Source organism: Homo sapiens, chromosome 6 (genome assembly GCF_000001405.40).
Source record: "Homo sapiens chromosome 6, GRCh38.p14 Primary Assembly".
Taxonomy (NCBI): Eukaryota; Metazoa; Chordata; class Mammalia; order Primates; family Hominidae; genus Homo; species Homo sapiens.
Genome location: NC_000006.12, coordinates 7,426,488 through 7,454,455, shown reverse-complemented (window position 1 = coordinate 7,454,455; position 27,968 = coordinate 7,426,488). Strand labels below are relative to the sequence as shown.

Genomic DNA, 27,968 nt, shown 5'->3' with positions numbered 1-27,968 from the left:
TGGGTTCAAGCAATTCTCATGCCTTAGCCTCTTGAGTAGCTGGGATTACAGGTGTGTGCCACCACACCCAGCTGATTTTTTGTAGAGATGGGGTTTCACTATGTTGCCCAAGCTTGTTTTGAACTCCCGGGCTCAAGTGATCCACCCACAGCAGCCTCCCACAGTGCTGCATTTACAGGTGTGAGCTACTGCGTGCAACCAAAATTATTTGTAAGTAAGATTCCTAGAAACCACAGAAGAAAAAAATCAATCCAACCTCTGAAAAAAAATTTTTTTTTAAAGATCCTTGGAAAACTTATCTTCCAAATCCCTATCACAGACAAAGACATATAAGGGCTCCTGAAAATTAATAATAAACTGAACAAACTCAATAAAATAATGGGCAAAGTAGCTCATAGAAAAGGCTCTTCACATCAGAAAATCTGTCAACTTCTCTCATAACAATAAAATGCCAAGTTAATGGCCAGGTGAGGTGGCTCACGCCTGCAATCCCAGCACTTTGGGAGGCCGAGGTGGGCAGATGACTTGAGCCCAGGAGTTCTAGACCAGCCTGGCCAACATGGCGAAACCCCGTCTCTACAAAAAATACAAAAATTGGCTGGGTGTGGTGGTGTGCACCTGTAGTCCCAGCTACTTGGGAGGCTGAGGCAGAGAATCGCTAGAACCCAGGAGGTGGAGGTTGCAGTGAGCCAAGATCGCACCACTGTACTCCAGCCTGAGTGACAGAGTGAGACTCTGTCTCAAAAAAAAAGAAAAGAAAAGACAAAGTTAAAACCCCCCAACTGAGACACATTTATTCATCATTTAGTTTGGCAGGGTGAAAATGTTAACAACATATTGACAGTATCTGGGGACAGGAGCATTCATCCATTGCTGGTGGGAGTGTAAACCCACGCCTATATCTGTGAAAGGAGACTAGAAAATATCCACCAAAACTACAAGTGCACATACCCCTTAATCACAATCCCACTTCTAAGAATTTAAGCCTACAGATAACCTCCTGTATGGGTGAAATCATGTATGAAGGAAATTATTCACTGAAGTCTGAAAGGATTGGAAAGAACCAAATTTCCATCAAGAGTGGGCCAGTTAAGCTGGGCTTGGTGGCTCACACCTGTAATCCCAGCACTTTGGGAGACCGAGGCAGGAGGATCACTTGAACTCGGAAGTTAGAGACCAGCCTGGGCAACAGGGAGACCCCAGTCTCTACAAATAATTTTTAAAAAATTAGCCAGGCATTGTGGCATGTGCCAGTGGTCCCAGCCACTTGAGAGTCTGAGGTAGGAGGATCACCTGAGCCTGGGAGGTAAACGGGAGAGTTCCCTGGCCCCCCTCACAGGGCATGTGACAGGGGTGCGGCTCTCTGTTTGACCGCCCACTGCAAGCTCAAACTTCTTGCAGGAGGGGAAGCATGCAGATGGGCAGGGGCGTGAGCCACAGCGAGCACTTTGGGCTCCAGCCCTGCAGTAGTGTCTGGGGGTGGGGGGGTGCCTGCAACCCCAGTGTCCCAATGCTCTTTTAGTTCTGCCATCCACAGACAGCTTAAGTATCAACCAGCTCAGGGCCCCTCTGCCTTTCTGCAAGGGCAGAGGGCCAGTGTGACAGCTTTCTGTATCCCAGGTTCTTGTTTAGCATCCCAGAAGAATTGGATCACACATGGACTTGAAGGATAAATGTGGGGCTTTTATTGAGTGGTGGAAGTGGCTCTCAGTGGGATGGATGGGGAGCTGGAGGGGGAATGGAGTGGGAAGATGATCTTCCCCTGGAGTTTGGCCGTCCAGCAGCCGAACTCCTCTCGACGTTCAGACGTTCCTTCTCTTCTCTCTTTCTCTGCTGCATTGTTCCGCTGTTCGTCTGCTTGTCTCCTCATCTCCTTGTCTCTCTCTGGAGCCTGGAATTTGGGGTTTATATGGGTACAGGATAGGGAGCATGTGGGCCAAAAGTCAACTTTTGGGGTGCAAAAACAGAAATGCCTGTTCCCATTTAGGGCCATGGGTATCCAGGCTTGAGGGTGGGGCCTTTGCTGGGGAACTGTCCTCTTCTACCCAGTATTTCCCTGTCTCCTGTCCATAGTAGGAGTTTGAGGCCACAGTGAGCCATGATGATCACACCACTACACTCCAGCCTAGCCGACAGAGAGATATCCTGTCTCAAAAAAAAAAAAAAAAAAAAAGAAGAAGAAGAAGAAGAAGAGTGGGCCAATTAAACAAATGACACATGTAATCCAAAGGCATATGTTTGGACAAATGGCAGAGATCTACATGCACTGATATGAACAAGGTTTCAACCAAATGTGTTGGCTAGTGAAATAAGCAAGGTACAGAACCATGTGAATGTCACTATTTATTTAAAAAGAGCAAGGGAAGAATATTTGTTTGTACTTATTTGCTTGTGTGCACAAAATCTGTGAAAGTCACACAAGAAACTGGTAATATTGCTTACTTTTTGAGTAGCTTGGGAATGACGAGGATGGGAGAAAGAATTTTCACTTTACATCCTTTTATATATTGAATTTTGAATCATGTGACCGTAATACTATTTCTAGGAAGAAAAAATAAATAAATACAAACAAAATGAGTAGGGCCAAAGTTGAAAAGTATAGTCACACAAACACAACATTTTTTAAAAGTTGAGATAGTAGTCACATAAAATTTACCCTTTTAAAGTGTACAGTTCAGTGATTTTTGGGTACAGACACAGGTGTACAACCATCACTGTGTAATTCCAGAACGTTTCCATCACCCCAAAGGGAAACCCTAAACCCTTTAGCAGTCACTTCCCATTCCCTCTTCCCTCTAGTCCCTGGCAACCACCAATTTGTCCTCTGTATCTATGGATTTGCCCATTCTGGACATTTCTTAAAAAGAGAATCATACAATATGTCATCTTTTGTGGCTGGCTTCTTTCACTCAGCATCATGTTTTCAAGATTCAGCTATGTTGTTGCATGTTGCAAAAGAACTTACTCATTTTTAAGGCTGAATAATAATCTGTTGTTTGCATACCCACATCCACTTATTAGCCGATGGACATCTGAGTTGTTTCTGCTTTTCAGCTATCGAGAATAATGTTTCAGCCAGGCACGGTGGCTCATGCCTGTATTCACAGCACTTTGGGAGGCTGAGGCAGACCATTTAAGGTCAGGAGTTCGAGACCAGCCTGACCAACATGGTGAAACCCTGTCTGTGCTAAAAATACAAATATTAGCCAGGTGTAACACCTGTTACAGGCATGCACCTGTAACCCCAGCTGCTCGGGAGGCTAAGGCAGGAGAATCACTTGAACCCAGGAGGCGGAGGTTGCAGTGACTGAGATTGTGCCATTGCACTCCAGCCTGGTGACAGAGCAAGACTCAGTCTCAAAAACAAAAAAGGGAGAATAATGTTTCAGAAATGCAAAATTTTGATCCACATCCATTCCAAGCTATCCTAATACTCAAAACAAGAATTGGGTGGCATTACTGCCACATGATGGATCTCTTCTATATACATTTTAAAACACATTTAAAATACATGCTGGTCTAGCTATGAAGAGTCCAAGTTGGCTGGGCGCGGTGGCTAACACCTGTAATACCAGCACTTTGGGAGGCTGAGGTGGGTGGGTTACCTGAGGTCAGCTCAAGACCAGCCTGGCCAACATGGTGAAACACTGTCTCTACTAAAAATACAAAAATTAGCCGGGCGTGGTGGCGCATGCCTGTAATCCCGGCTACTCGGGAGGCTGAGGCAGGAGAATTGCATGAACCCACGAGGTGGAGGTTGCAGTGAGCCGAGATCGCGCCACTGCACTCCAGCCTTGGTGACAAAGCACAACTCCATCTCAAAAAAAAAAAAAAAAAAAAAAAAAAAAAAAAAAAAAAAAAAGAAAGCAAGCAAAGAGTCAAAGTTTCACTTAAGGCAAATCTTTTCTTTCCTGTTCCATACACCTCTCACCCACCCTCCTCAGGTCTTCTCATCTTTTCCTTTCTCCTGCTGCTGCTGCTGCTGCTGTCCTCAGATGCCCTTTCTCTCTCCCAGACCTTCTCTCCTCTCCCTCCTACAGAACACCTTTACCGTGCATTTTTTCATTCTCCCATCTGTTTGCCAACATGCACAATCATCATTGCCAAATGAAGTCATCCTGGAAAAAATTAAAAAGCTGGCCCACCCAAGCTTTATTTAAACAGTCGTTTTTGCCATGAGCTCTTTGCCTGTAGGCCAAGAGGTTTGTTGAAACCCATCCTGTCCGCAGTCTTGGGGAAGTGGGAAGCTGTGGTGTTTTCAAGCCCTGGCTTACTGAGCGCCAAGAAACTCAATCTCGCTTTTTTTTTTTTTTTTTTTAAGACTAGTTGAAGCTGGTCAAGTGGAGCACTGTGGGTGGAGAACCAAGACTCTCTTAACAGAGATTAGGGTCAGCAGCAACTGGACAATGTTTAGCTCCAGATAAATTCTGGAGGAGCTGCCGGGCGCAGTGGCTCATGCCTGGAATCCCAGCACTTTGAGAGGCCGACGTGGGTGGATCACAAGGTCAAGAGTTCAAGACCAGCCTGACCAACATGGTGAAACCCCGCCTCTACTAAAAATACAAAAATTAGCCGGGTGTGGTGTTGCACACCTGTAATCCCAGCTACTCAGGAGACTGAGGCAGGAGAATCACTTGAACCCGGGAGGCGGAGGTTACAGTGAGCGAAGATCGTACCACTACACTCCAGCCTAGCCAACAGAGGGAGACTCCGTCTCAAAAAAAAAAAAAAAAAAAAAAATCTGGAGGAGATCTAGGAAAAGTCACACACATGTGCAGACACACAACACACACATACGTGAGCCCTCCCGAGGAATCCCTGCTGGGAGTCTCTCCTGGGAGTCAGAGTAAACAAAACCAAATCAATAACACAAAAGATAAGGGCTCCCAGTCTTTCATTGCCATCTGATTTCCAGAGAGAATTCCACTCACAGGGGGAGAGAAGGCCGAATTTACAAGAAAGGCATCCTTAGGAGTGAAAGGTCAGTTTCAGATCAATTCCTGTTCAGAATATGAGGCCATTCTACTATGGCCTAAGTGAAACTCATGTGGATTTTAAAATTATACATGGTAGCCGGGCGTGGTGGCTCATACTTGTAATCCCAACACTTTGGGAGGCCAAGGCAGGAGGATTGCTTAAGACCAGAAGTTGGAGACCAGCCTGGCCAATATAGTGAGACCTTGTCTCTATAAATAATTAAAAAGTTAGCTGGACATGGTGGTGCGTGCCTGTGATCCCATCTACTTAGGAGGCTAAGGTGGAAGGATCACACAATTGAGGCTGCAGTGAGCCGTGATGGTGCCACTGCACTTCAGCCTGGGCAACAGAGCAAGATCCTGTCTCAAAAGAAAAAAAAACTAACAAAAAAATAAATTTTACATATCATTGCCCTATCAGTGGCTAAAATATTTTTTTTATTTTTTGTTTTTATTTTTATTTTATATATATTTTTTGAGACAGAGTATCGCTCTTGTCACCCAGGCTGGAGTGCAATGGCACAATATCGGCTCACTGAAACCTCCGCCTCGAGGGTTCAAGCAATTCTCCTGCCTCAGCCTCCCAATTAGCTGGGATTACAGGCACCCACCACCACGCCCGGCTAATTTTTGTATTTTTAGTAGAGACGGGGTTTCATCACGTTGGCCAGGCTGGTCTCAAACTCCTGGCCTCAAGTGATCCACCCGCCTCCGCCTCCCAAAGTTCTAGGATTACAGACGTGTGTCACCGTGCCCAGCCAGTGGCTAAAATATTCTTTAATGGAAAATAGACACATTTTTTTAACCTGCATCTTTTGCTTTGGGAGCGGCAGTGTCATCTCCCCTGCACTACTGGGACAGTCCTAATTGGCCTCTCCTCCTCTCATCTAACCCAGTCCAGTCCACCCTACACAGCGGCGCAAGCTGACCTTCCCCCCACATTGCCCTGTCAATCCCCTGCTCCAGAACATTCTGTGACTCTCTGGTACCAACAGGACAAAGTCCCAATTCTCAGCCTCGTGTGTGGACAGACAGGACCCTGGCTATCTTTCCACCGTCCTCCCACACACACCTGACTCCAACCCAACAGGCTGACTCCCTTTCATCTGAACACTACAAGCGCATGCTAGCCCCACACTCTCTACTCTCTGTCTAGAAGGCTCTTCATTGCCTCATTCAACAAACATTTACAAAGTCCTCACTATGTACCAGGAGGCAGACTTTACAATGAGACAGCTCATGAGGGCGGCCCACCGGGAATCAGGCAGCTGTGACCCCCATGAGAAGTGGTATGGGGCTGGGGGCTGGAGAGCAGAGTTGGGGGTTGGACAGAGAAAGGCAACTTCAGTTACACTTCTCAAGCACTTTCTAACAACTGTTATTTAGGAATAGATATTGAAGGTCTGAAAAGGACACGGACAGCCAGCGAGTGACCAAGGTCTGAGGCAGGAAAATAGGGTCTGGAGGCAGGGAACATAAGGCCAATTCACACTTCCGCTATGACAGAAAATATCCTCTCCCTAGTAAATGACTTTGTAACATTACTTCAACCTCTTCATTTACATAGGGCATACCCCAAGTCCTCTACAGGGTATTTAAACTCCCCAAAATTCTGTAACGGGGCCTTTGAGCCCCTATGCTCAGGCCCACTCCCACGCTGTCGAGTGTACTTTCTTTTTTTTTTTTTTGAGATGGAGTCTTGCTGTGTCGCCCAGGCTGGAGTGCAGTGGCACAATCTCAGCTCACTGCAAGCTCTGCCTCCCGGGTTCCCACCATTCTCCTGCCTCAGCCTCCCGAGTAGCTGGGACTACAGGCACCTGCCACCACGCCCGGCTAATTTTTTTTTTTTTTTTTTTTTTGTATTTTTAGTAGAGACAGGGTTTCACCGTGTTAGCCAGGATGGTCTCGATCTTCTGATCTTGTGATCCACCCGCCTCAGCCTCCCAAAGTGCTGGGATTACAGGCTTGAGCCACAGCGCCTGGCCTGAGTGTACTTTCATTTTCAATAAACCCCCTTCATTTCTTCCTTGCTTTGTGCGTTTTGTCCAATTCTTTGTTCAAGATGCCAAGAACCTGGACACCCTCCACTGGTGACAGGTCTATGTGCCACAGCGCACCTCACGAGGCCACCTCTGCACAGAACCTTCCCAGATCAGGGCAACCCTAAGTGACCACTTCTGGGGAACAGAGGCTCTTCCGTTCTGTTTCCTTTGGCCAGGAACGACAGCAGGTAGCCTTGTTTGCAGTGTTTCTAAACCTTTGCATGCATGTTCCATCTTGCTCCCCAGCTGGACATGTTCCTGTGGGCAGGGCATAGTTTCATCCACACTAATTTGTACAGAGTAGGCAGTCAATAAAAATATCTGCTGAATGAATAGTGAATGAATGTACTCACAGCACCCGGCTATCCACCCAAAGCCATCCATCCAAGAAATAACTACAACCTGGGGTAATTAGTCTTTCTCACTTCCCAGGGCTGCTGGTTAGATCAATTCATTTGTGTCCATAATAAGAATTGAGCTCTTCGGATGAACAACACTAAATCTTGCTGGGTGAAGAAAAGGCTTACAGCAGGGGTCCGCAGCCCCCGGCCGTTGACCAGTATCTGTGTGGCCTGTTAGGAACTGGGCCGCACAGCAGGAGGTGAGCGTGGGGTGAACAAGCATTACCGCCGGAGCTCCACCTCCTGTCAGAACAGCGGTGGCATGAGTCTCATAGCAGCACAAGCCCTATTGTGAACTGCGCGTGTGAGGGATCTAGGTTGCGTGCTCCTTATGAGAGTCTAACTAATGCCTGATGATCTGAGGTGGTGGTTTCATCCTGAAACCATCCCCACCCTCCCATCCATGGAAAAACTGCCTTCCACCAAACCGCTTCCTGGTGCCAAAAAGGCTAGGGACGGCTGGCTTACAGAATATATTTCACCCAGTAATAAGGGCCTCCATGAATCTCTTTAATGTGTGTATAATGTCTCCTTTAAACTCAAAATATAAGCAGTGGAGAGCCCAGAATGAGGGAGAAAAACTCATTTTTCCTCTTTAGGTATCTTTGTCTTCTTGCAGTGTCTAAAATGATCTCTGAGTACTGCATATGCTTCAAAAAATAAGAAGAAAAATCAAAGAAATGTACAAAGTAATGCACAGCTCTGAGTTGGCCTCTTCCTGCAGGGTGGGGCGGGCGGCTCCCCCAACTTGTTCTCCAGGACACCAGAGGACCGAGGAGTGTCTCACTCAGCAATTAGGGCTCCCGGAGCCACACCCAGGCCCCCAGCACCCTCCTGCTTTTGTTTCTGGGAGAAAATGCTGCTGAGCACTGACGAAATCCGCAAAGAGATTAAAAATAATTGAGGGAGATCCTCAGTTTTGCTCCCCTCGCCTTTCCCTCGGGGCTGCAGCTGCCTGCTCCCAGGAGGTGCCGTGCAGGGTGGGAGGTGGCTTTCAGGAAGGGCAGTGGGCCTGGGTGACCACACCCTTCTTCTTTAAGGCTGTCCTCCTCCCCAGTTTGGGGACACCGTGTTTTCCTTTTCCTCCCGACTCTCCTCCTTGCCAGTTTTCTGACCCTACCACCTTCTCCCACCCACCCCCATGCTCACGGTCCTACCTACCTTGAAGGTTGACAGCGTCGTTGTCTTCCCTTCTGACTCTTCACCCTCTGTCTGGGTGACTCACTTATTCCTATGATGTCCAGTAGCACCCCCGTAAGGGGGACCTCAAATTTTCACATCCATTCCCACATCTGCCCGCTGATAGCTCAGACTCATTGTTTCCCAAAGGATCTCATTCTGTCTCCAGTTCTGACCCTCCACTGATTTCCCATCTTGACCACTGCCTACCCAGTTACTGTCCCAGTCGAAACCTGGGCGCCATGTGACGACTCTGCTCCCCTCTCTACAGCTACACAACCGCCGTGTGCTGTCGGGTCTTATCCTTTCCACCCCAGCTCCCATGGCCTTGGCTCCTGTCCCCACTTTCTCACAAGCTTCCCATGGGGCTTCCCTGCCTCCATTCTCTCTCAGTCCAATTTCCACATTTTGGTTGAAGGGATATTGCTAAAATGCCAATCTGATTATGTTCTCCCCTACTTAAATTCCTAAAGTGGAATCGTACTGCCCAGAGCAGTGATTTCTAAGTCTGATTGATACATCTGGGAGCTTTAAAAAAAAACAGAGATTCCGAGGGCCCAAGAAGGGCTGAGTCAGGATCTCCAGGGAGTCTTAGGAGGTTATTCCTGCTGTGGAGTGGATTTTGAAAATTCCTTGCCTGAAGAATCATCTTCAGATCCCTTCAAAGGCCCCTTCCCCACCACATATCCTACTCTTCAGACACACTGAATGATTTCATCTCCCCACTCTCTGCATGAACTGTTGTGCTATCTGATGTCCTCTCCAACCGAAGGCTTCCCTGATGCCCCCAGGCAAGATCAATTCCATCCTCCTTTGGGCTTCTTTTGTAGCTCATAGTCAAGAAAACTTCTGCTGTACCTCTCATCACGCTGTCCCTGTATTGCAGTTTTTAAGAAGATATCTCTCGGCCGGACATGGTGTCTCATGCCTGTAATCCCAGCACTTTGGGAGGCCGAGGGGGTGGATCACTTGAGGTCAGGAAGGAGTTCGAGACCTGCCTGGCCAACACGGAGAAACCTGTCTCTCTACTAAAAATACAAAAATTAGCAGGGCATGGTGGCATGTGCCTGTGATCCCAGATACTGGGGAGGCTGAGGCAGGAGAATTGCTTGCACCCGGGAGGCGGAGGTTGCAGTAAGCCCAGATCGTGCCATTGCACTCCAGCCTGGGTGACAGAGTGAGACTCCCTCTCAAAAATAAAGAAACAAAGTAAATAAAAAGATATCTCTCTAGCTAGATTACAGACACTCCCCAGGGGAAGTCTTTTCTTTTTTGATACGGAGTCTCACTCTGTCGCCCAGGCTGGAGTGCAGTGGCACAATCTCGGCTGACTGCAAGCTCCGCCTCCCAGGTTGACGCCATTCTCCTGCCTCAGCCTCCCTAAGAGCTGGGACTACAGGCGCCTGCCATCACGCCCAGCTAGTATTTTTTTTTTTTTTTTGTATTTTTAGTAGAGATGGGTTTTCACCGTGTTAGCCAGGATGGTCTCGATCTCCTGACCTTATGATCTGCCCGCCTTGGCCTCCCAAAGTGCTGGGATTACAGGCATAAGCCACTGCGCCCGGCTTTTTTTTTTTTGGACAGTGTTTCGCTCTTGTTGCCCAGACTGGAGTGCAATAGCACAATCTCAGCTCACTGCAACCTCTGCCTCCCGGGTTCAAGAGATTCTCCTGCCTCAGCCTCCCAGGTAGCTGGGATTACAGGCATGTCCACCACACCCGGCTAATTTTTTGTATTTAGTAGAGATGGGATTTCACCATGTTGGTCAGGCTGGTCTCCAACTCCTGACCTCAACTGATCCACCCACCTTGGCCTCCCAAAGTGCTGGGCTTACAGGCATGCACCACTGTGCCCGGCTGGGAAGTCTCAATAGCGTTGCGTCCTTCCCCTGTTCAGCAACACTGGCACGTAATTGGTCCTCAATGAATATGCACTAAATGCATGACTGGATGGAGTTAAATATGAGAACACACATTATTTCCACATATGGAATTTTATAAAGATGGAATAATATAAAGAGCTACAAACAACCGTTACAGTTTCTGAAGTTTGAAAATTTCTGAAATCCCAGAAACTTTCCATTTTCTGCCTAAAATCTCCCTATCATTGCTATGAGCCTGTTTGTCCCAAGATCCTCAACTAAAACCACCAGACAGATGCAGACAAAGGAGATTTAAAAAAAACAATAATAAACCGAGCCAGGTGCCAGTGGCTCATGCCTGTAATCCCAACACTTTGGAAGGCCAAGGCAGGAGGATTACTTGAGCCCAGGTGTTGGAGACCAGCCTCGGTAACATAGAGAGACCCCGTCTCTACAAAACATTAAAAAAAACTATCCGGGGATAAGAAGCACATGCCTATAGTCCCAGCTACTCGGGAGGCTGAGCTGGGAGGATCGGTTGAGCCTGTGAGGCTAAGGCTGCAGTGAGTCGAGATCTCACCACTGCACTCAGTTCTGGGTGACAGAGTGAGAACCTGTCTCAAAAATCAACCGATTGATCAAAACTCTGCTTTTTATTATCATGGGCTGGCAATTCCAAACAATGTCAAGAGAGAAAATGCTTCCAATCCTTCTGCTCACCAAGTAAACCTGCCCTCTTGTGATTCCTTTTATCATTGTCATGAAGTGAGGACCTGTACGACCTTTAAAGCTTTATCAATGAGAAAGATTGAATACAAAAAGCTACCGATGACTGAATACTACTTTCTCCTTTACCTTCCTTGGCTTGACAAGATTTTGAGAATATAGACACGAAAGAATTAGGCATTTAGTTTTTTTGAATTTTAAGAGCATACACCAATGAAATAGGATTTCTAGTCATGTTTTCAGAGTGCTGTAGCCTGAACCACAAATTACCATGTAGTTCAGAGGAAAGATAAGTAACACACCACTCAACTGTAGTTCAGGGGAAAGATAGGTAACGAATGCACACACCTCATTTTCTTTCCTGAATTACCAAAACAAAACCACCCACAAGAATAGAGCGCTTAAAAGAAAACTGCGGAAAAACGTACAAGACAAACGTCAGCGGTAGGGCAAATAACTAACCTGAGAAAAGCCGAATACTAGATAGAGAAAAGCTAACAGCCAAAAAGCCTCAGCCTTTCATAAAGAGGCAGCACCTGGTAACCCTGGGAACTAGTGTGTCCAGAACTAGCGGGTTCTCGGTCTTACTAATTTCAAGAACGAAGTTGCAAACTTAAAGTGTTTTAGCTGTACAGTGAGTGTTCCAGCTGTTAAACACAGCGTTGCCCAGAGTTCGCTGTCTCACTAGTTCGGGAGTAAAGCTGCAGACCTTCACAGTTCATGTTATCATACTTAAAGTACCATATCTGAAGTTCTCTGTTCTTTTTCAAGGGCTCACAACCCACATTAGATTCAGAAAAATCTACAGACTTTAGCAAAAAACCGCTGAAACTCCCAACAACAATCTGAACCCAAAAAACAAAAAAAAAAAAGACAAATATCTCACATCATATGAAACAAACTAACCAAATTACCGGGGCTAGCTCGGGCAGCCTGCTTTTATTCTCTTATCTGGCCCCACCCACATCCTGCTGATTGGTCCATTTTACAGAGAGCCGATTGGTCTGTTTTACAGAGAGCTGATTGGTCCGTTTTTAACAGGGTGCTGATTGGTGCGTTTACAATCCCTGAGCTAGACACAAAAGTTCTCCACGTCCCCACTAGATTAACTAGATGCAGAGTGTTAATTGGTGTATTTACAAACCCTGAGCTAGACACAGAGTGCTGATTGGTGCATTTACAAACTTTGAGCTAGATACAGAGTGCCGATTGGTGCATTCACAATCCCTTAGATAGACATAAAGGTTCTGCAAGTCCCCACCAGATCAGCTAGACACAGAACGCCGATTGGTGCATTTACAAACCTTGAGCTAGACGCAGGGTGCTGATTGGTGCATTTACAAACCTTCATCTACATACAGAGTGCCGATTGGTGTATTCACAATCCCTTAGCTAGATAAAAAGGTTCTCCAAGTCCCCACCAGATTAGCTAGATACAGAGTGCCGATTGGTGCAGCCACAAACCCTGAGCTAGACAGAGGGTGTTGATTGGTGTGTTTACAAACCTTGAGCTAGATACAGAGTGCTGATTGGTGTATTTACAACCCCTTAGCTAGACATAAAGATTGTTCAAGTCCCCACCAGACTGACTGAGCCCAGCTGGCTTCACCCGGTGGTATTCCCCAGCGGGGCCGCAGGTAGAGCTGTCAGTCCCGCCCGTGGACCCGCACTGTTTAGTCCTTTGGGCGGTCAATGGGACTCTGTGCTGTGAAGTAGGGGGCGGCGCTCGTCCGGGAGGCTCAGGAGACTCGGGCTGTGCAGGAGCCCAGGGCGGGGTTGGGACGGGGGGCTCAGGCATGGTGGGCTGCAGGTCCCGAGCCCTGCCCCATGGGGAAGCAGCTAAGGCCTGGCAAGAAATCGAGGACAGCCGTTGTTGGCCCAAGTGCTAAGTTCCTCACTGCCTGGGCCGGCGGGGCCGGCCGAGCCCAAGCCCACCCAGAACTCGCTCTGGCCCGCAAGCGCCGCGCGCATCCCCGGTTACTGCCCGTGCCTGTCCCTCCACACCTCCCCGCAAGCCAAGGGAGCCGGCTCCGGCCTCGGCCATCCCTGGAAGGGATCCCACAGTGCAGCGGTAGGCTGAAGGACTCCTCAAGCACGGCCAGAGTGGGCGTCGAGGCCGAGGAGGTGCCAAGAGCGAAGGGGGGCTGCCAGCAGGCTGGCACCTCTCACTAGCGGGGAAGGAAGTGTGACTGGGTTTCTGAGGAGGAGCTGTTAAAGATGCTTTTAAATTCCAGGATCCCTCCCCGACTCCTGGACGGGCCCTTTCCCACTGCAGCACAAGCCTGGGGACAGATGTATTTTCAGGAGAGGGGAAAGGAGAAGGTCTCTGCACTGGGGACCAGGGGCACAGCTGCGGGGGAGGACCCGAGAGTCAGTGGGGAGGGTGGTGTGAATGTTTACACCCTAAAGAATGCAGCAGCATACCACCAAAGTCTCTAATATCAAGGAGACGCAAGGAAGGGGGAAAAGCAACTTGGGGAAATGGGACACTGCAGAGAAAAGATAACTTCCAGAACCCCCTCGAGTATTAATAAGGGAAACTGACCTGTCTCTAGCTAGAGACTCAAAACCAAGTCAGGACAGCATGTTTTTAAAGCCAGATGACAGCAATATAGAGAAAAGAGAGTGTATTCATAAAAGAAGAATGCAATGAGGTTTTTTGTTTTGTTTTAGTTTTTTGTTTTGTTTTGAGACGGAGTCTCTCTCTGTCGCCAGGCTGGAGTGCTGTGGCGTGATCTCAGCTCACTGCAACCTCCGCCTCCCAGGTTCAAGTGATTCTCCTGCCTCAGCCTCTGGAGTAGCTGGGATTACAGGCACGCGCCACCACGCCAGGCTAATTTTTTTATTTTTAGTAGAGACGGGGTTTCACCATGTTGGCCAGGGATGGTCTCGATCTCCTGACCTCGTGATCCGCCCACCTCAACCTCCCAAAGTGCTGGGATGACAGGCATGAGCCACCGCGCCCGGCCCACAATGAGTTTTTTTAAAGTAGCATTCAAGAGAACAAAGAAAGATCTATTGGAAATTAAAAATATAATAGAAATGAAAAGTTCAAGGTAAAACTGGAAATCTCCCAGAGTAAAATGACAAGGAGATGAAAAATAAGTCAAGGAACTGGAGACTTGATGGTGGAGAGATGAAGAGAATCCCCGTGTGACGGGAAAAGGGGCCTGCCAGATGATTGCTGGACACCAGCGTGGGAGCAACTAGCCCGGAGGGTCTGCATGGAGACCAAACTGGGAGGATATATGATGAAAATGAACCTACTGGGACAGGACCCAGACAATGAGCAGAAAGTTTGGAGTTGAATTAGCCACAGCAGACAGAAAAGTAGGCAATTTTTTAAAAAAAAGGACAGTTGTTAATTTGGGGGAAACTTAATAGCTAAGCACAAAAGAAAAAAGTAGTTGCAATATTACAAGATTGACTCTGAACACAGATAGTCACACTGACACAAATAATGGAAATTGATGTGAAAACTCCAAGCTACCCGGGAGACTGAGGCAGAAGGATGGCTTGAACCCTGGAGTTCAAATCTGCTCTGGGCAGCATAGGGAGACTCCGTGTCTAACAAAAAGTAATAAAAGTTAAAACATAACTGGGATGACAGGCAAGAGGACAGAAGTGAAAATATGTGGAGAATGAAGAACTAAATCTTCAACTTTCATAGAAGAAAATAACTAATGTTTTAAACTGAAAAATAAAGCAATACAAGCTTGTTAATTAAATTTATCCAGGTAAATACCAAAATAATCAGTTAAAAGAACATAACTGACACTAGCAAAGGAGAAATTGGGGAAGTGGGTATAGGGGAAGTGGTTTTTTTTAACTTAATAATTTGATTGACTTTGAAAAATAAGGGCGTGGCATGATGGTTCATGTCTGTAATCCTAGCACTTGGGAGGCCAAGGCAGGCAGATGGCTTGAGCCCAGAAGTTTGAGACCAGCTTGAGCAACACAGTGAGACCCCATCTCTACAAAAAATACAAAAAATAAGTGGATGTGGTGGCGTGCACCTGTAGTCCCACCTACCTACGAGGCTGATGTGGGAAGATTGATTGAGCCCAGGAGGCAGAGGTTGTAGTGAGCTGAGGTCGAGCCACTGTACTCCAGCCTGGGTGACAGAGTGAGACCCTGTCTCAAACCTTTTAAAAAAGAAAAATAAGTACATACATATACATTTGACAAAAAGTGAAACGGCAATATTGGATGTTTTTGCAAGTGGAAAAAATGTTTATTCTAAACTAAAGTAACATTAATATAAAGTTTAGACCTTTTTTTCACAATAAAGAAACAGAATCCCCTGGCTATCATTATGGTAGGCTAACACTAAAATGAATGAAATTTCTCATCCAAAACAGGTAGAGTTATTTAATTTCCATAAGAAATTCACAACTCATCTTTGAAGCAATGATATTAATTACATGAGACATCCATAGGAAGTTTAAATCATGAAAGTATGCATCCTTTCTATCAATGCTTTTTATAGAAGTGAAAAACAAGGCCGGGCGTGGTGGCTCATACCTGTAATCCTAGCATTTTGGGAGGCCAAGGTGGGTGGATCATGAGGTCAGGAGTTCAAGACCAGCCAGGCCAACATGGTGAAATCCTGTCTACTAAAAATACAAAAAAAAAAAATTAGCCAGGCATGGTGACACACACCTCTAATCCCAGCTACTCTGGAGGCTGAGGCAGGAGAATTGCTTAAACCCAGGAGGCGGAGGTTGCAGTGAGCCAAGATCACACCACTGCACTCCAGCCTAAGTGACAGAGCAAGACTCTGTCTCGGGAAAAAAAAAAAAAAAAAAAGAAGTGAAAAACATCTTTACAAAGGCCAGTTTCCCATATTTCAATATAGATGTAAAATTCAAATGGCTTTTAGAAGTTTTCAAATTTGTAGGAAAACCCCCCACCCAATAAATCTTCTTGTCCAAATCAAGGTAAAAACTAATTTTCAGAATCTGAGAGTCAGAAGGGCCAGGCCCTCTGACTTATGAAAGTTTCTCATCTAGGATTTGGGGCATGATGAGTCCTTGGCCAGGCCTTTATTGTGGAAACCCACAGCACATTCACAGCCAGGCCACAACACATGTGGAACTAAAGTCCACCCCCTCCCTTTTTCTTTTTTCTTTAAATGAGCAGATTATTCTCAAGACTTCCTTTTTATTTATTTATTTATTTATTTATTTATTGAGACGGAGTTTTGCTTTTGTTGCCCAGGCTAGAGTGCAATGGCGCAATCTTTGCTTACCGCAGCCTCTGCCTCCCAGGTTCAAGTGATTCTCCTGCCTCAGCCTCCCGCGTAGCTGGGGTTACAGGTACGCACCACCATGCCCGGCTAATTTTGTATTTTCAGTAGAGACGGCTTCTCCATGTTAGTCAGGCTGGTCTCAAACTCCTGACCTCAGGTTTTCTGCCCACCTCGACCTCCCAAACTGCTGGGATTATAGGCGTAAGCCACCACACCCAGCCAGACTTCCATCTTAAACTGGGTTTGGAGTTTATTGTCTCCTCTCCTCACGGTTTTTCCTAGCTCAGACATCTGGTCAAAATCTACCCTCTCTCAGTCATATTGTGGCTGTCTGTCCTTTTCTTTTCTTTTTTCTTTCCTCCCCTCCCCTCCTCTCCCCTCCCTGTCCCATCCCTTTCCTTTCCTCTCTTTCTTTCTTTCCTTTATTTTCTTCTTTTTTCTTTTCTTTTCTTTCTTTCCTTTATTTTCTTCTTTCTTCTTTTCTTTTCTTTCTTTCTTTCGTTTTCTTCTTTTTTTTCCTTTTTGAGACAGTCTCACTTTGTCTCCCATGCTGGAGTGCACTGATGCGATCTTGGCTCACGGCAGCCTGTATCTCCCCGGCTCAAGCAATCTTTCCCCCTCATCTTCACTAGTAGCTGAACTGTAAGCTTGTGCCACCATGCCAGCTAATTTAAAAAAAAATTTGTAGAGATGGGGGTCACACTATGTTTTGAACTCCTAGGCTGGTCTCAAACTCCTAGGCTCAAGTGATCCTCCCGCCTTGGCCTCCCAAAGTGCTGGGATTACAGGTAGGAGCCACCACACTCAGCCCCGAGACCTGTCATTTCTTTATCTCATAGTCACCCTTATCTGAGTGGCCCACACCCTTTCTGTTCATGCAGCTGCCCGTCTCAACAGCTTACGGACACACACCTGTAGCTCAAGCTGTTTCTCAAAGAAGTAGCTCATAGAACAAGATTGAGAAACTCTGTAGAACCAGACCCTTCTTTCTCCTCTGAACCAGAGGCTGTCTCTAGAACTGTAAGAACACAGCACCATAGGCCGGGGCCAGTGGCTCACGCCTATAATCCCAGCACTTTGGGAGGCCGAGGCAGGTGGATCACCTGAGGTCAGGAGTTCGAGACCAGCCTGACCAACATGGTGACACCCCATCTCTACTAAAAATACAAAAATTAGCCAGGCACGGTGGTGCACACCTGTAGTCCCAGCTACTCGAGAGGCTGAGGTAGGAGAATTGCTTGAACCCAGGAGGCGGAGGTTGTGATGAGCCAAGATCATGCCGCTGCACTCCAGACTGAATAACAGAGTGAGACCTGTCTCCAAAAAAAAAAAAAAAAAAAGGAGAGAGGAAATGATGGGCAAGGTGTGGGAAAAGCTATCAAGCATACTCTTTAATTAGGAAAGGGAGGAATCTGCACTTTGGAAGAGAGTGGAGATAATGCAGAAGGCAGAGGAGACAGATGACAGGAGCTGTCTGCCCAAATACCCTGGAGTCTTTTTTTCTTTTTTTTTTTTTTTTTTTGAGACAGAGTCTCACTCTGTCACCCAGACCGGAGTGCAGTGGCATGATCTCGGCTCACTGCAACCTCTGCCTCCTGGGTTCAAGCGATTCTTCTGCCTCAGCCTCCGGAGTAAATGGAACTACAGGCGTGTGCCACCATGCCCAGCTAATTTTTTTTGCATTTTTAGTAGAGACAGGGTTTTACCATGTTAGACAGGATGGTCTCGAACTCCTGACCTCAGGTGATCTGCCCACCTTGGCCTCCCAAATTGCTAGGATTACAGACATGAGCCACTGCACCCGGCCACTTGATTGCTTTTTATTCTATTTTCTCCTCCAATTGTGTGTTTTCAAATAACCTGTCTTTAGCTCACTGATTCTTGGCTCAACTTGATCCATTCTGCTGTTGAGAGCCTCTAATGAATATTTTAATTCAGCAAATGTATTTCTTAGTTCCAATATTTCTGTTTGTTTGTTGTTATTTCAATCTCTTTGTTAAATTTCTCTGATGAATTTCTGAATTGCTTTTCTGTATTATCTTGGAGATCACTGAGTTTCCTTAAAACTACTATTTGACTTATTGGTCAGAGAGCTCACATATCACCATCCTGTTGGGGTCAGTTACTGGTTCCTTGGTTTGTCCATTTTGGAGGATTGTTGTTCCCTGTTTGCCGTTGTTTCTTCTGGATGTACGTCTGTCTTTGCATTGAAACATTATGTATTCCAGTCTTCTCTAGCTTGTTTGGGTTTTTATTGAATATATTTGCTTAGAAGTTATTCACTGCTAGGCCACTGCCCCCTTTTCAGCTCTGGGTGGCACCTTAAAGCCCAGGTTCACTTTGACTCTAGTAACTGATCAGTATACTGCCCTTCCTGGCTAGGAGTTTGTGCCCAGGGGACCTGTGAGCTGAACCCCCTACAGTGTCGTACTGCTAAATAGTCACTCTGACTTGGTGCCTCCTTTGGTTGAGTTACAGAACAGAATTTCCAGGGTGGGGATGGTAGTCCTGCCTCCTCCCTTTGTCTCTGCCTGTTCTCAGAGATATTTCTCCTTTTATGCTTCCTGTGGGTTAAGGAAGGAACGGATCTCCTGCCGGGGAACCCAAGATGGTGGGGGAGCTGTTTGTTGACCTTGATCTTACTTACACCAGTGTAGAAACAGTGAGTTGGGGGGAAATTTTCCACACACTTGCTGCCAGGTAGAACGAGGGGAGGGGTGTCACAGATGTGGAAATCTGATTATCTTACCATCTTCTCGGGTTTTTTTCACCTCTTTGTGGCCCTGAAAACTGTCTTATCTTCATATTTTAGTTCTGGGATATTTCTGGTGATCATCTCGGTGCAAGTCAGGGTTTACTGTTACTTGCAACCAGAAGCACACCAGTTGGTGCACTCTTCCATCCAGGCAGAGCAGGTTCTCTGTCATCTACCTCTGGCATGTAGCTCAGCTTTTCACCCTCCCAGTCCCCACCCAAACCTATCCATCCCTCAGTCTGGCTCTGGTCCTACCAGTCCCACCCAACCACTCCAATCCATGCAATTTGCTCCTTTCTCTGTACATCTATGGCATGTACCTCTGGGCCACACAATTTAGCACTTAGACCTCACATTCTTTCCAAATCATTTGTGTGTGAGTGTGAACATGTGAGTGTGTGTGTGTCCACGTGTGTGTTATTGCATAAGAAACAGCAATATTAAGGATAGGAGATAACATATAACCCTTGTATATTCCCCAATAGCATTCTGTTGATAGGCTTAGAATAATATTCAATTTAGAAAAATAATACAGTGAATGAACTATATGGTTTTTTTGATTTTCATCAACTTTCTACTTGCTGGGGAAGAAGTTTTATTTTATTTTGATAGGAGGATGGGATGTTGGGAAAAGAATCTAAGCCACATAAGTCTATGTTTAACGTAAACATTTACTCCTAGCTTTCAAACCTCTATTGCAACCTCCAATCAGACTCCGTGTGGTAAGTCTCTTTATGAATGCAGCGTGAGGCCAGGCGCGGTGGCTCACGCCTGTAATCCCAGCACTTTGGAAGGCTAAGGTGGACAAATCGCTTGAGCTCGGAGAGTTTGAGAACAGCCTGGACAACATGGCAAAACCCCATCTCTACCAAAAAAAAAAAAAAAAAAATTAGCCAGGTGTGGTGGTGTGCCCCTGTAGTCCTGCTATTTAGGGGGCTGAAGTGAGAAGATCTCTTGTGCCTGGGAAGTTGAGGCTGCAGTAAGCCATGTTTGCACTACTGCATTCCAGCTTGGGTGACAAAGTAAGACTCAAAAAAAAAAAAAAAAAACAAAAACCAGCAGCATAAAAGCTACATAAAAAGAGCCCAAGGAAGGAAAGAGGTCATTAGCCCATTTATGCCTAGTGTTCCATTATCGGAATGCTAAGCTTATGGGAGTTATTTATACTCTACTGCTCAAGGTCATCGCTAAGGTCTGATTTTTCACACACACAAAAAATTTGCAACCTCTGGCATACATGGGTTAACTGGGTGGCATTTCATTCTGCTGTTCACATTTTCTACTTAAAAAAAAAAAAAAGAAAGAAAAATCAGGCTGGGCGCAGTGGCTCATGCCTGTAATCCTAGCACTTTGGGAGGCCAAGGCAGGTGGATTGTCTGAGCTCAGGAGTTCAAGACCAGCCTGGGCAACGTGGTGAAACCCCATCTGTACTAAAAACACAAAAAATTAGCCGGGCGTGGTGGTGCGCACCTGTAATCTCAGCTACTCGGGAGGCTGGGGCACGAGAATCACTTGAACCTGGGAGGCGGAGGTTGCAATGAGCCAAGACAGCACCACTGCACTCAAGCCTGGGCGACAGAATGAGACTATCTCAAAAAAAATAATCAGACCAGACTCATGGGAGGCTGAGAGGCTTTGCAGTTCTGCAGCTTGTGGGGTGCAGGAAGCAGCCCCAGAGCAGCACTGGCCACTCCCGGAGAAGGACAGACTGTTGACTTCCAAACTAGGGCAGGATGCTGACAGTCAAGGCTACCACTTTTCAATTTCCCCTCCTCTTCTTGAAATTATGTGTGACAGAGAAAGGCCCTAATAGGCCAACAGAAAGTGGATCCCATTTCCACAGATCAGATGACAGTCCTGCCCCTATGCTGGCGAACTACCAAAGGAGCTCCTCTGGGCGTTCCTTGTCCTGCTTCCAGGTGTTAACTGAGGAAGAGACACAAACACTAACAGCAGCCCTTCAAGGGTCCGGGCCTTCAAACCCAAGAGCTGCCTGATTCTCACCTGCCCTCCCAGGGGCAACCCAAGCTGTGAAGTCTGGCCTCTTGGTCCATCCACAGTTTTCACTCTGTGAACATCTGCAAGCACTGGCCATCCACATTCCTAAAAGCCACAGGGTTCCAATGGCTCCAGCACCCACCCGTTTCCACACGCTGAGCAGCCTTCTTTCATATCTGTTAGTATTTGCAGACACTTCGTTTTCCATCTAGCACAGGCGGTGCATGTGCTGCCTTCACACCCCTGCAGCTCCAGTGGGCAGCACTTGGCGTCCCACAGCACAGCCAGCCCTACCCGCACCCAGCGTCCACCCGCAGGATCCAAAGGCCCCATAATGTGCCGAATATAATCTTTCTCCCCTTCAAAACACATAGTTCTAGGAAACAAATGCTGGCTTGCTGGGATGCTGACATTGGCTGGCACAAAGCCCACACCAAAAGGGGTGAGGCCCCTTTGGTGTGGCCCTCCCTAGACCAGGGAGAGCCCGCCGAGGCTGGGGGTGGGTCTGCCTTTGGCTTGAAGATAGAAGCAGCTGAAATTTCAAACCCAAAATACAATCATGCAGCGATCTTTTCTGGACCTGCCTTCTCGTAGGGGCTTGTTTTTTCTTCATTGCAAAAATATTTTCCCATTGTTAACCTGTTTGAAGTTTTTTGTTTGTTTGTTTCCAGAACTGCCTTGTCTGCAGCAAGCCCATCTAGTCAGAGGGCTGGACTTTTGTCTCTGTGACACCTCTGGAAACATTGCCTCTCACTCTGGAAAGCCGTCCCCAGAGAATCTTCTCTTTGTTCCCCATCCCCTGCCTCCAGAGGCAGAAGCATGTAAGCCCACTCGGCCACCCCAGGACTCAGAACCGCTCCCAAGGTCACGGTATTTTAGAGAGATGCTGGGAGAGCAATCCAGCGAATGCCTCAGAACTGCCCACTGATTCTGTGGTCAAGACACTTTCTTTCCCGGCCACAGACTGAAGGCAGCAAGCACGGGTGTACTTGCTCGGAAACCACCGCAGCAAAGAGGCTACTGAAGAGATCCTAACCGGATCTGGCTTTCCAGCAAAGCCGCAGCTCCGGGCTTTCCACACTGCACCAAGCTGAGCAACTAGATGCTCCATGAGGCTGCCACGAACCGAAAACAAACGAACAAAACAAACATAAGCACCCAAAACAACAACCTGGCTCTCCTCCAGAATCCAAATGACCACTTGGCTTACATGCCAGAGGAAATCTGGGGTCTCAAGTGGCGCAGGGTCGGGAGCTCGGCTGGTGCCACAGCCCCCGCCCTGCTGTCCCGCCCTATGGGACTCAGGCTGCCCGGTGAGGGCCGCAGCTCCGATCCCAGCTCCACCTGAGCCCACAAGCTGTGCACTGTGGTCCCTTGTCCCAAATGGGGTGTGGCTTCCTGACGCGATGAGGAGGCCCTGAAAGCCAACCAGCTCCTCCCCCTGGCTTAGGCCAGGGCAGGGCTGGCCCAGGTAAAACTGTGAAGTCAGTGGCTTTTGGATTTCTCCATCCTCTCTTTTCTGGACTTCTCTCTGGACTTCCCACCACGCCCCTTCCACTGCCCTCCACCCATCACCGTTTGCTCTACGCATATGAGCCATTTACAATGTAGGGTGAACTGATCTGCCATTGAGGTCAAGGCCCTCATCTGCTCTTGAGACATATTCCCAGGAGCCGCGTGGGAGGTGAGGACGATTTCCACAGTGATCCTCCTTCCTCCTCCACGGGCTGTGCTAAGGATGGAAAGACCACTTTGCTCTGGAGTGGTGATTTTAAATCCAAAGGAGCCTGTTCGTCCAAGAACACTCACTTCCTCATTTTGGAAGAGGGTAACAGAACGACAGAATGACACCGCAAGTGAATTTGTATTAGACTCTGAGAATTCGTAGGGGAAGCCAGCATTAATTGAGTGCTTCCTGGTGTCAAGCTCTGAGCTTTCACTGGCAGCACATTCACCTTCCACACCGTCCTCATTTCAGATAAGGGAGTATGTTCAGAAAGTTGGATTTGCCCACGTTCGCCCAGTTAGTCAATACTGCAGGAGGCGGCATCCAACCACTGCACTGTGGAGGTGGGCGGACCCAGGCCAGGTGGGAAATGTCCAATGACTTCCCCAAGCTCACTGACCCTGTGCTCAACAACTCAGGAAATTCAGCGAGGCACCAGCTATGGCAGCCTATTTTGCTTTGGCTATAATACCTTCTCCCTTCCTCTAAATGGCTTTGATCTTTTTACTGATAGTATTGAGAATGTTGCTTAACGAAGACTAGTTAAAAATTATTTCTGTTTTTTGGTGTTTGGGTTGTGTTGTTTTTCTTTTTCTTCTTTTCTTTTCTTTTTTTTTTTTGAAACAGCATCTCATTCACCCAGGCTGGAGCACCGTCGTGGCTCACTGCAGCCTCAACCTCCCAGACTCAAGTGATCCTCCCACCATAGCCTCTGAATAGCTGGGACCATAGTCGCGTGCCACCATGCCTGGCTAATTTTTTTTTAGTTTTATTTTAATAGAGATGAGGTCTTCTATGTTACCTAGGCTGGTTTCGAACTCCTGAGCTCAAGCAACCCTTTTGCCTCAGCCTCCCAAAGTGCTGCGATTACAGGTGTGAGCCACTGTATCTGGTCTTAAAAATTATTAATAGGCAAGGTATACATTATTTTTAAAAAATTAAAAAGGAGTAGCAGATCCTGGGCTAGAATCAGGTTCTCTTAACTCAAATCTGGGACTTTTCAATTACAGCACATGACTGCCTACGAACACCTGCATAAGTATTAACGAAACTGTAGGCCGGGCGCGGTGACTCACACCTGCAATCCCAGCACTTTGGGAGGCTGAGGTGGGTGGATCACCTGAGGTCAGGAGTTCGAGACCAGCCTGGTGAAACCCCGTCTCTACGAAAAATACTAAAAAATTAGCCGGGCGTGGTGGCACATGCCTGTAATCCCAGCTACCTGGGAGGCTGAGGCAGGAGGATTGCTTGAACCTGGGAGGCAGAGGTTGCAGTGAGCCGAGATTGCACCATTGCACTCCAGCCTGGACAACAAGAGTGAGATTCCATCTCAAAACAACAACAACAACAAACTGTAAATGAATGGGTACCTATATGTCCTATAGCAGCCTCCATGCACATACCTTAAAGTATGCTTCTGTAGTACATTCAACATTGTCCAAGTCTAACAAAAAATGCTGTAGCCGTTATCCTTCACTTTATATGGAATGGCACCTATTAGGAACCAAATGAGAAAAGTAACCAGTATTTATTTTTATTAAAGTGTATTGTGTGCTAAATGACATGCCTGCATTATATCTCATTTAATCCTAACTGCAATATAATGGATACCATTGTCCTCCAATTGACAAAAATCTTGCCATACTCTTTTTAGGAGCAACAAAATATACAATACAATTATGGTCATCCTGATGTGCCACAAGAAAACTACAGGTTAAACGTGGGGAACTACTTTCTGGAGCATCATTACTTGATGTGAGTTTAAAACTTCAAACATAACAGAAATTTATTATGAACTGGAGTGAAAAATTCACATGAATTTTGTTTTAAGCTGATAGAAGAAATAAGACATGGTGCTGATAGATCAGTAGGGTTACTATAATGTTAATTGATTGTATATTTCAAAATCAGCTAGAATAATTCAAATGTTCCTAGGGTAAAGAAAATATAATCTTTTTTTTTTTTGAGACAGAGGCTCGCTCTGTTCCCCTGGCTAGAGTACAGTGGTATGACCGAGGCTCAGTGCAACCTCCACCTCCTGGGTTCAAGCAATTCTCTTGCCTCAGCCTCCCGAGTAGCTGGGATTACAGGTGTGCACCACTGTGCCCGGCCAATATATATATATTTTTTTTGTATTTTTAGTAGAGATGGGGTTTCACTATGTTACCTAGGCTGGTCTTGAACTCCTGACCTCTAGTGAGCCGCCCGCCTCAGCCTCCCAAAGTGCTGGGATTACAGGCATGAGCCACTGCACCTGGTCTAAGATAAAGATTTAAGGTGATAAATATCCCAATTGCCTTGATTTGACTATATGAATGTATCAAATTATCACATGTACCCAAAAAATATGTACATCTGATATGTATCAATTTTTTTTTTTTGAGATGGAGTCTCACTCTGGCGCCCAGGCTGGGGTGCAGTGGCATGATCTTGGCTCACTGCAATCTCCACCTCCCAGGTTCAAGCAAGTCTTCTGCCTCAGCCTCCCAAGTAACTGGGACTACAGGCGCCTGCCACCACGCCCAGCTAATTTTTGTATTTTTTAGTAGAGATGGGGTTTCACCATGTTGGCCAGGCTGGTCTTGAACTCCTGACCTTATGATCCACCCACCTCAGCCTCCCAAAGTGCTGGGATTACAGGCGTGAGCCACTGTGCCCGGCCAATTTTAAAAATAAATTAAAACAATTTAACAGGAATTTAGTATGAAAAGGAATGAAAAATTCACATGGACTTTTTTTCAAGCTCAAACAAGAGATTTGAAAGAAATGTCACGCTTGGAGGTGGAGTAGAAGCAGCTCAGTGATGTTCTTCCATCTTTGGTAGAAAACTTTGAGGAACAAACTTATAAGCTAACAAAATATTGTTGGGGAAAAAAACAAGTATTTTACGTCTCCTTTTATTTATTCTTAAGAAGTCTCATTTTCCCCCATACTCTGTATATCAACTATATTTAAACCAATTGGAATGGCAATTTTAACTTTTTGTTTTTGTTCTTCAGAATTAATATTCCTGAGTATGAAATTTTAAAGAATCTTTGTGTGTGTGAGACCAGATCTCACTCTGTCGCCCAGGCTGGAGTGCAGTGGTGCGATCACTGCTCACGAAACCTCAACCTCCTGGGCTCAAACGATCCTCCCACCTCAGCCTCCTAAGTAGCTGGGACTACAGGCATTCACCACCACACCCAGCTAATTTATAAATTTTTGGTAGAAGTGGTGTCTCTCTCTGTTACCCAGGCTGGTCTTGAACTCCTTGCCTCAAGAGATCCTCGGCCTCCCAAACTGTTGGGATTACAGGTGTGAACCACAGCATCCAGCTAAAAAAGTATCTTATGTGAAGTTTAACTTAGATTCTGGGGGAAAGTTCCTTCCTTTGTATGTTGTTTTATCCTATGTATCACATATCCACTAACGGAATTTAAATTTCCTATCCTACCAAAAGGTGGGTGAAATTAATGTAAATATTTGACCCAATATATGCAAAATATTACCATTTCAACATGTACCCAACATTTAAAAATTATTCTATACATTATATATGTCATACTATCTTCATAACCCAGTATGTATTTCACACTTACAATCCAAACTAGCCACATGCAAACACTCAGTAGTCACATGTGGCTCCTGACTCCCTGCTGAAGAGGGCAGCTCTAAACCTATCAGAGGCTTTATCAGTTCAATATTATTTTACAGATGAGAAAGCGGAGGCCCAGAAAGATGACGTGAGCCTCAGCAAGTTCATCAGCATTCACCCTCGCAATCTAAGGCCCTTTAAACGTCTATTTTTGTTATTGTTATTCTTTTGTTAAAGCGTGCTTTTTACTTTTTTGAGACAGAGTTTCACTCTTACTGCCCAGGCTGGAGTGCAGTGGTGAGGTCTCGGCTTATTGCCATCTGCGCCTCCTAGTTTCAAGCATGATCCCCCTCAGCCTCCCAAGTAGCTGGGATTACAGGCATGTACCACCACACCTGGCTAATTTTGTATTTTTAGTAGAGACAGGATTACATGTTAGGCTGATTTGAAATGCCTGACCTCCAGTGATCCGCCCACCTCAACTTCCAAAAGCGCTGGGATTAAAGTGTGAGTCACCAAACCCAGCTTATTTTGAAGTAAGCCAGATCCTGATTGGATGAACAACTTCTGAAAAATGTTACTGAGGAGTTAGTTCCTCAGGAGTTCTTCAGTGAGGATTAATTCTAAAATCAGCCACTAAACAGGCCAGGTGTGGGGACTCACGCCTGTAATCCTAGTGTCCACAATTGGGGGGTTTATTGGTTTCACTGACTTAATGAAGCCGCAGACTCTCGCGTTCAGTGTTAAAGTTCTGAAACGCAGCGTGTCCCTAGTTAGTTCCTTCTGGCATTTTAGATACGTTCTGAGTTTTTTCTTCCTAGAGGTTCATGGTCTCACTGGCTCCGGAATGAACCTACAGACCTTCGCGCTAAGTGTTACAGGTCTCTAAGGTCGCGCGTCTGGAATTGTTTGTTCTTCCTGCGGGGTTCAGGGTTTTCCTGGCTTTCAGAGCGAAGCAGCATGCTCTCACAGTGAGCGTGACAACTCACAAAGACAATGCACACCCAAACCCTGAGCACTGACAAAACTTACCGCAAACAGTGAAAGAACAAAGCTCCCACACTACGGAAACATAAATCTGAGCAAGTTGCTACTGCTAGGGCAGGCAGCCTGCTTTTATTCTCTTATCTGGCCCCTCCCGCATCCTGCTGATTGGTCCATTTTACAGAGAGCCGATTGGTCTGTTTTACAGAGAGCTGATTGTCTGTTTTGAGAGGGTGCTGATTGGTGCGTTTACAATCCCTGAGCTAGACACAAAAGTTCTCCACCTCCCTACTAGGTTAGCTAGATACAGAGTGTCCACTGGTGTGTTTACAAACCCTGAGCTACACACAGAGTGCTGATTGTTGTATTTACAAACCTTCAGCTGGATACAGAGTGCCGATTGGTGCATTTACAATCCCTTGGCTAGATGTAAAGCTTCTCCAAGTCCCTACCAGAGTAGCTAGATACAGAGTGTCAATTGGTGCATTCACA

At 46.5% G+C, this 27,968-nt stretch overlaps 1 long non-coding RNA gene across 3 annotated transcripts; it reads right to left on the bottom strand.

Annotated features, from left to right (window-relative positions):
• Nucleotides 1-1,662: 1,662 nt before the first annotated feature.
• On the bottom strand, nt 1,663-27,584 carry LOC102724234 (uncharacterized). Of its 3 annotated transcripts, none has more exons than XR_926434.2 (3): nt 27,525-27,584; nt 24,319-24,409; nt 1,663-1,891 (listed from the first exon to the last, which is right to left on the bottom strand). It is a non-coding gene; the product is annotated as an uncharacterized LOC102724234 (long non-coding RNA). The 3 variants fall into 3 exon arrangements; XR_926435.2 differs by lacking the exon at nt 1,663-1,891 and adding an exon at nt 15,297-15,330; XR_427872.3 differs by lacking the exon at nt 1,663-1,891 and adding an exon at nt 15,764-15,801.
• Nucleotides 27,585-27,968: the final 384 nt, after the last annotated feature.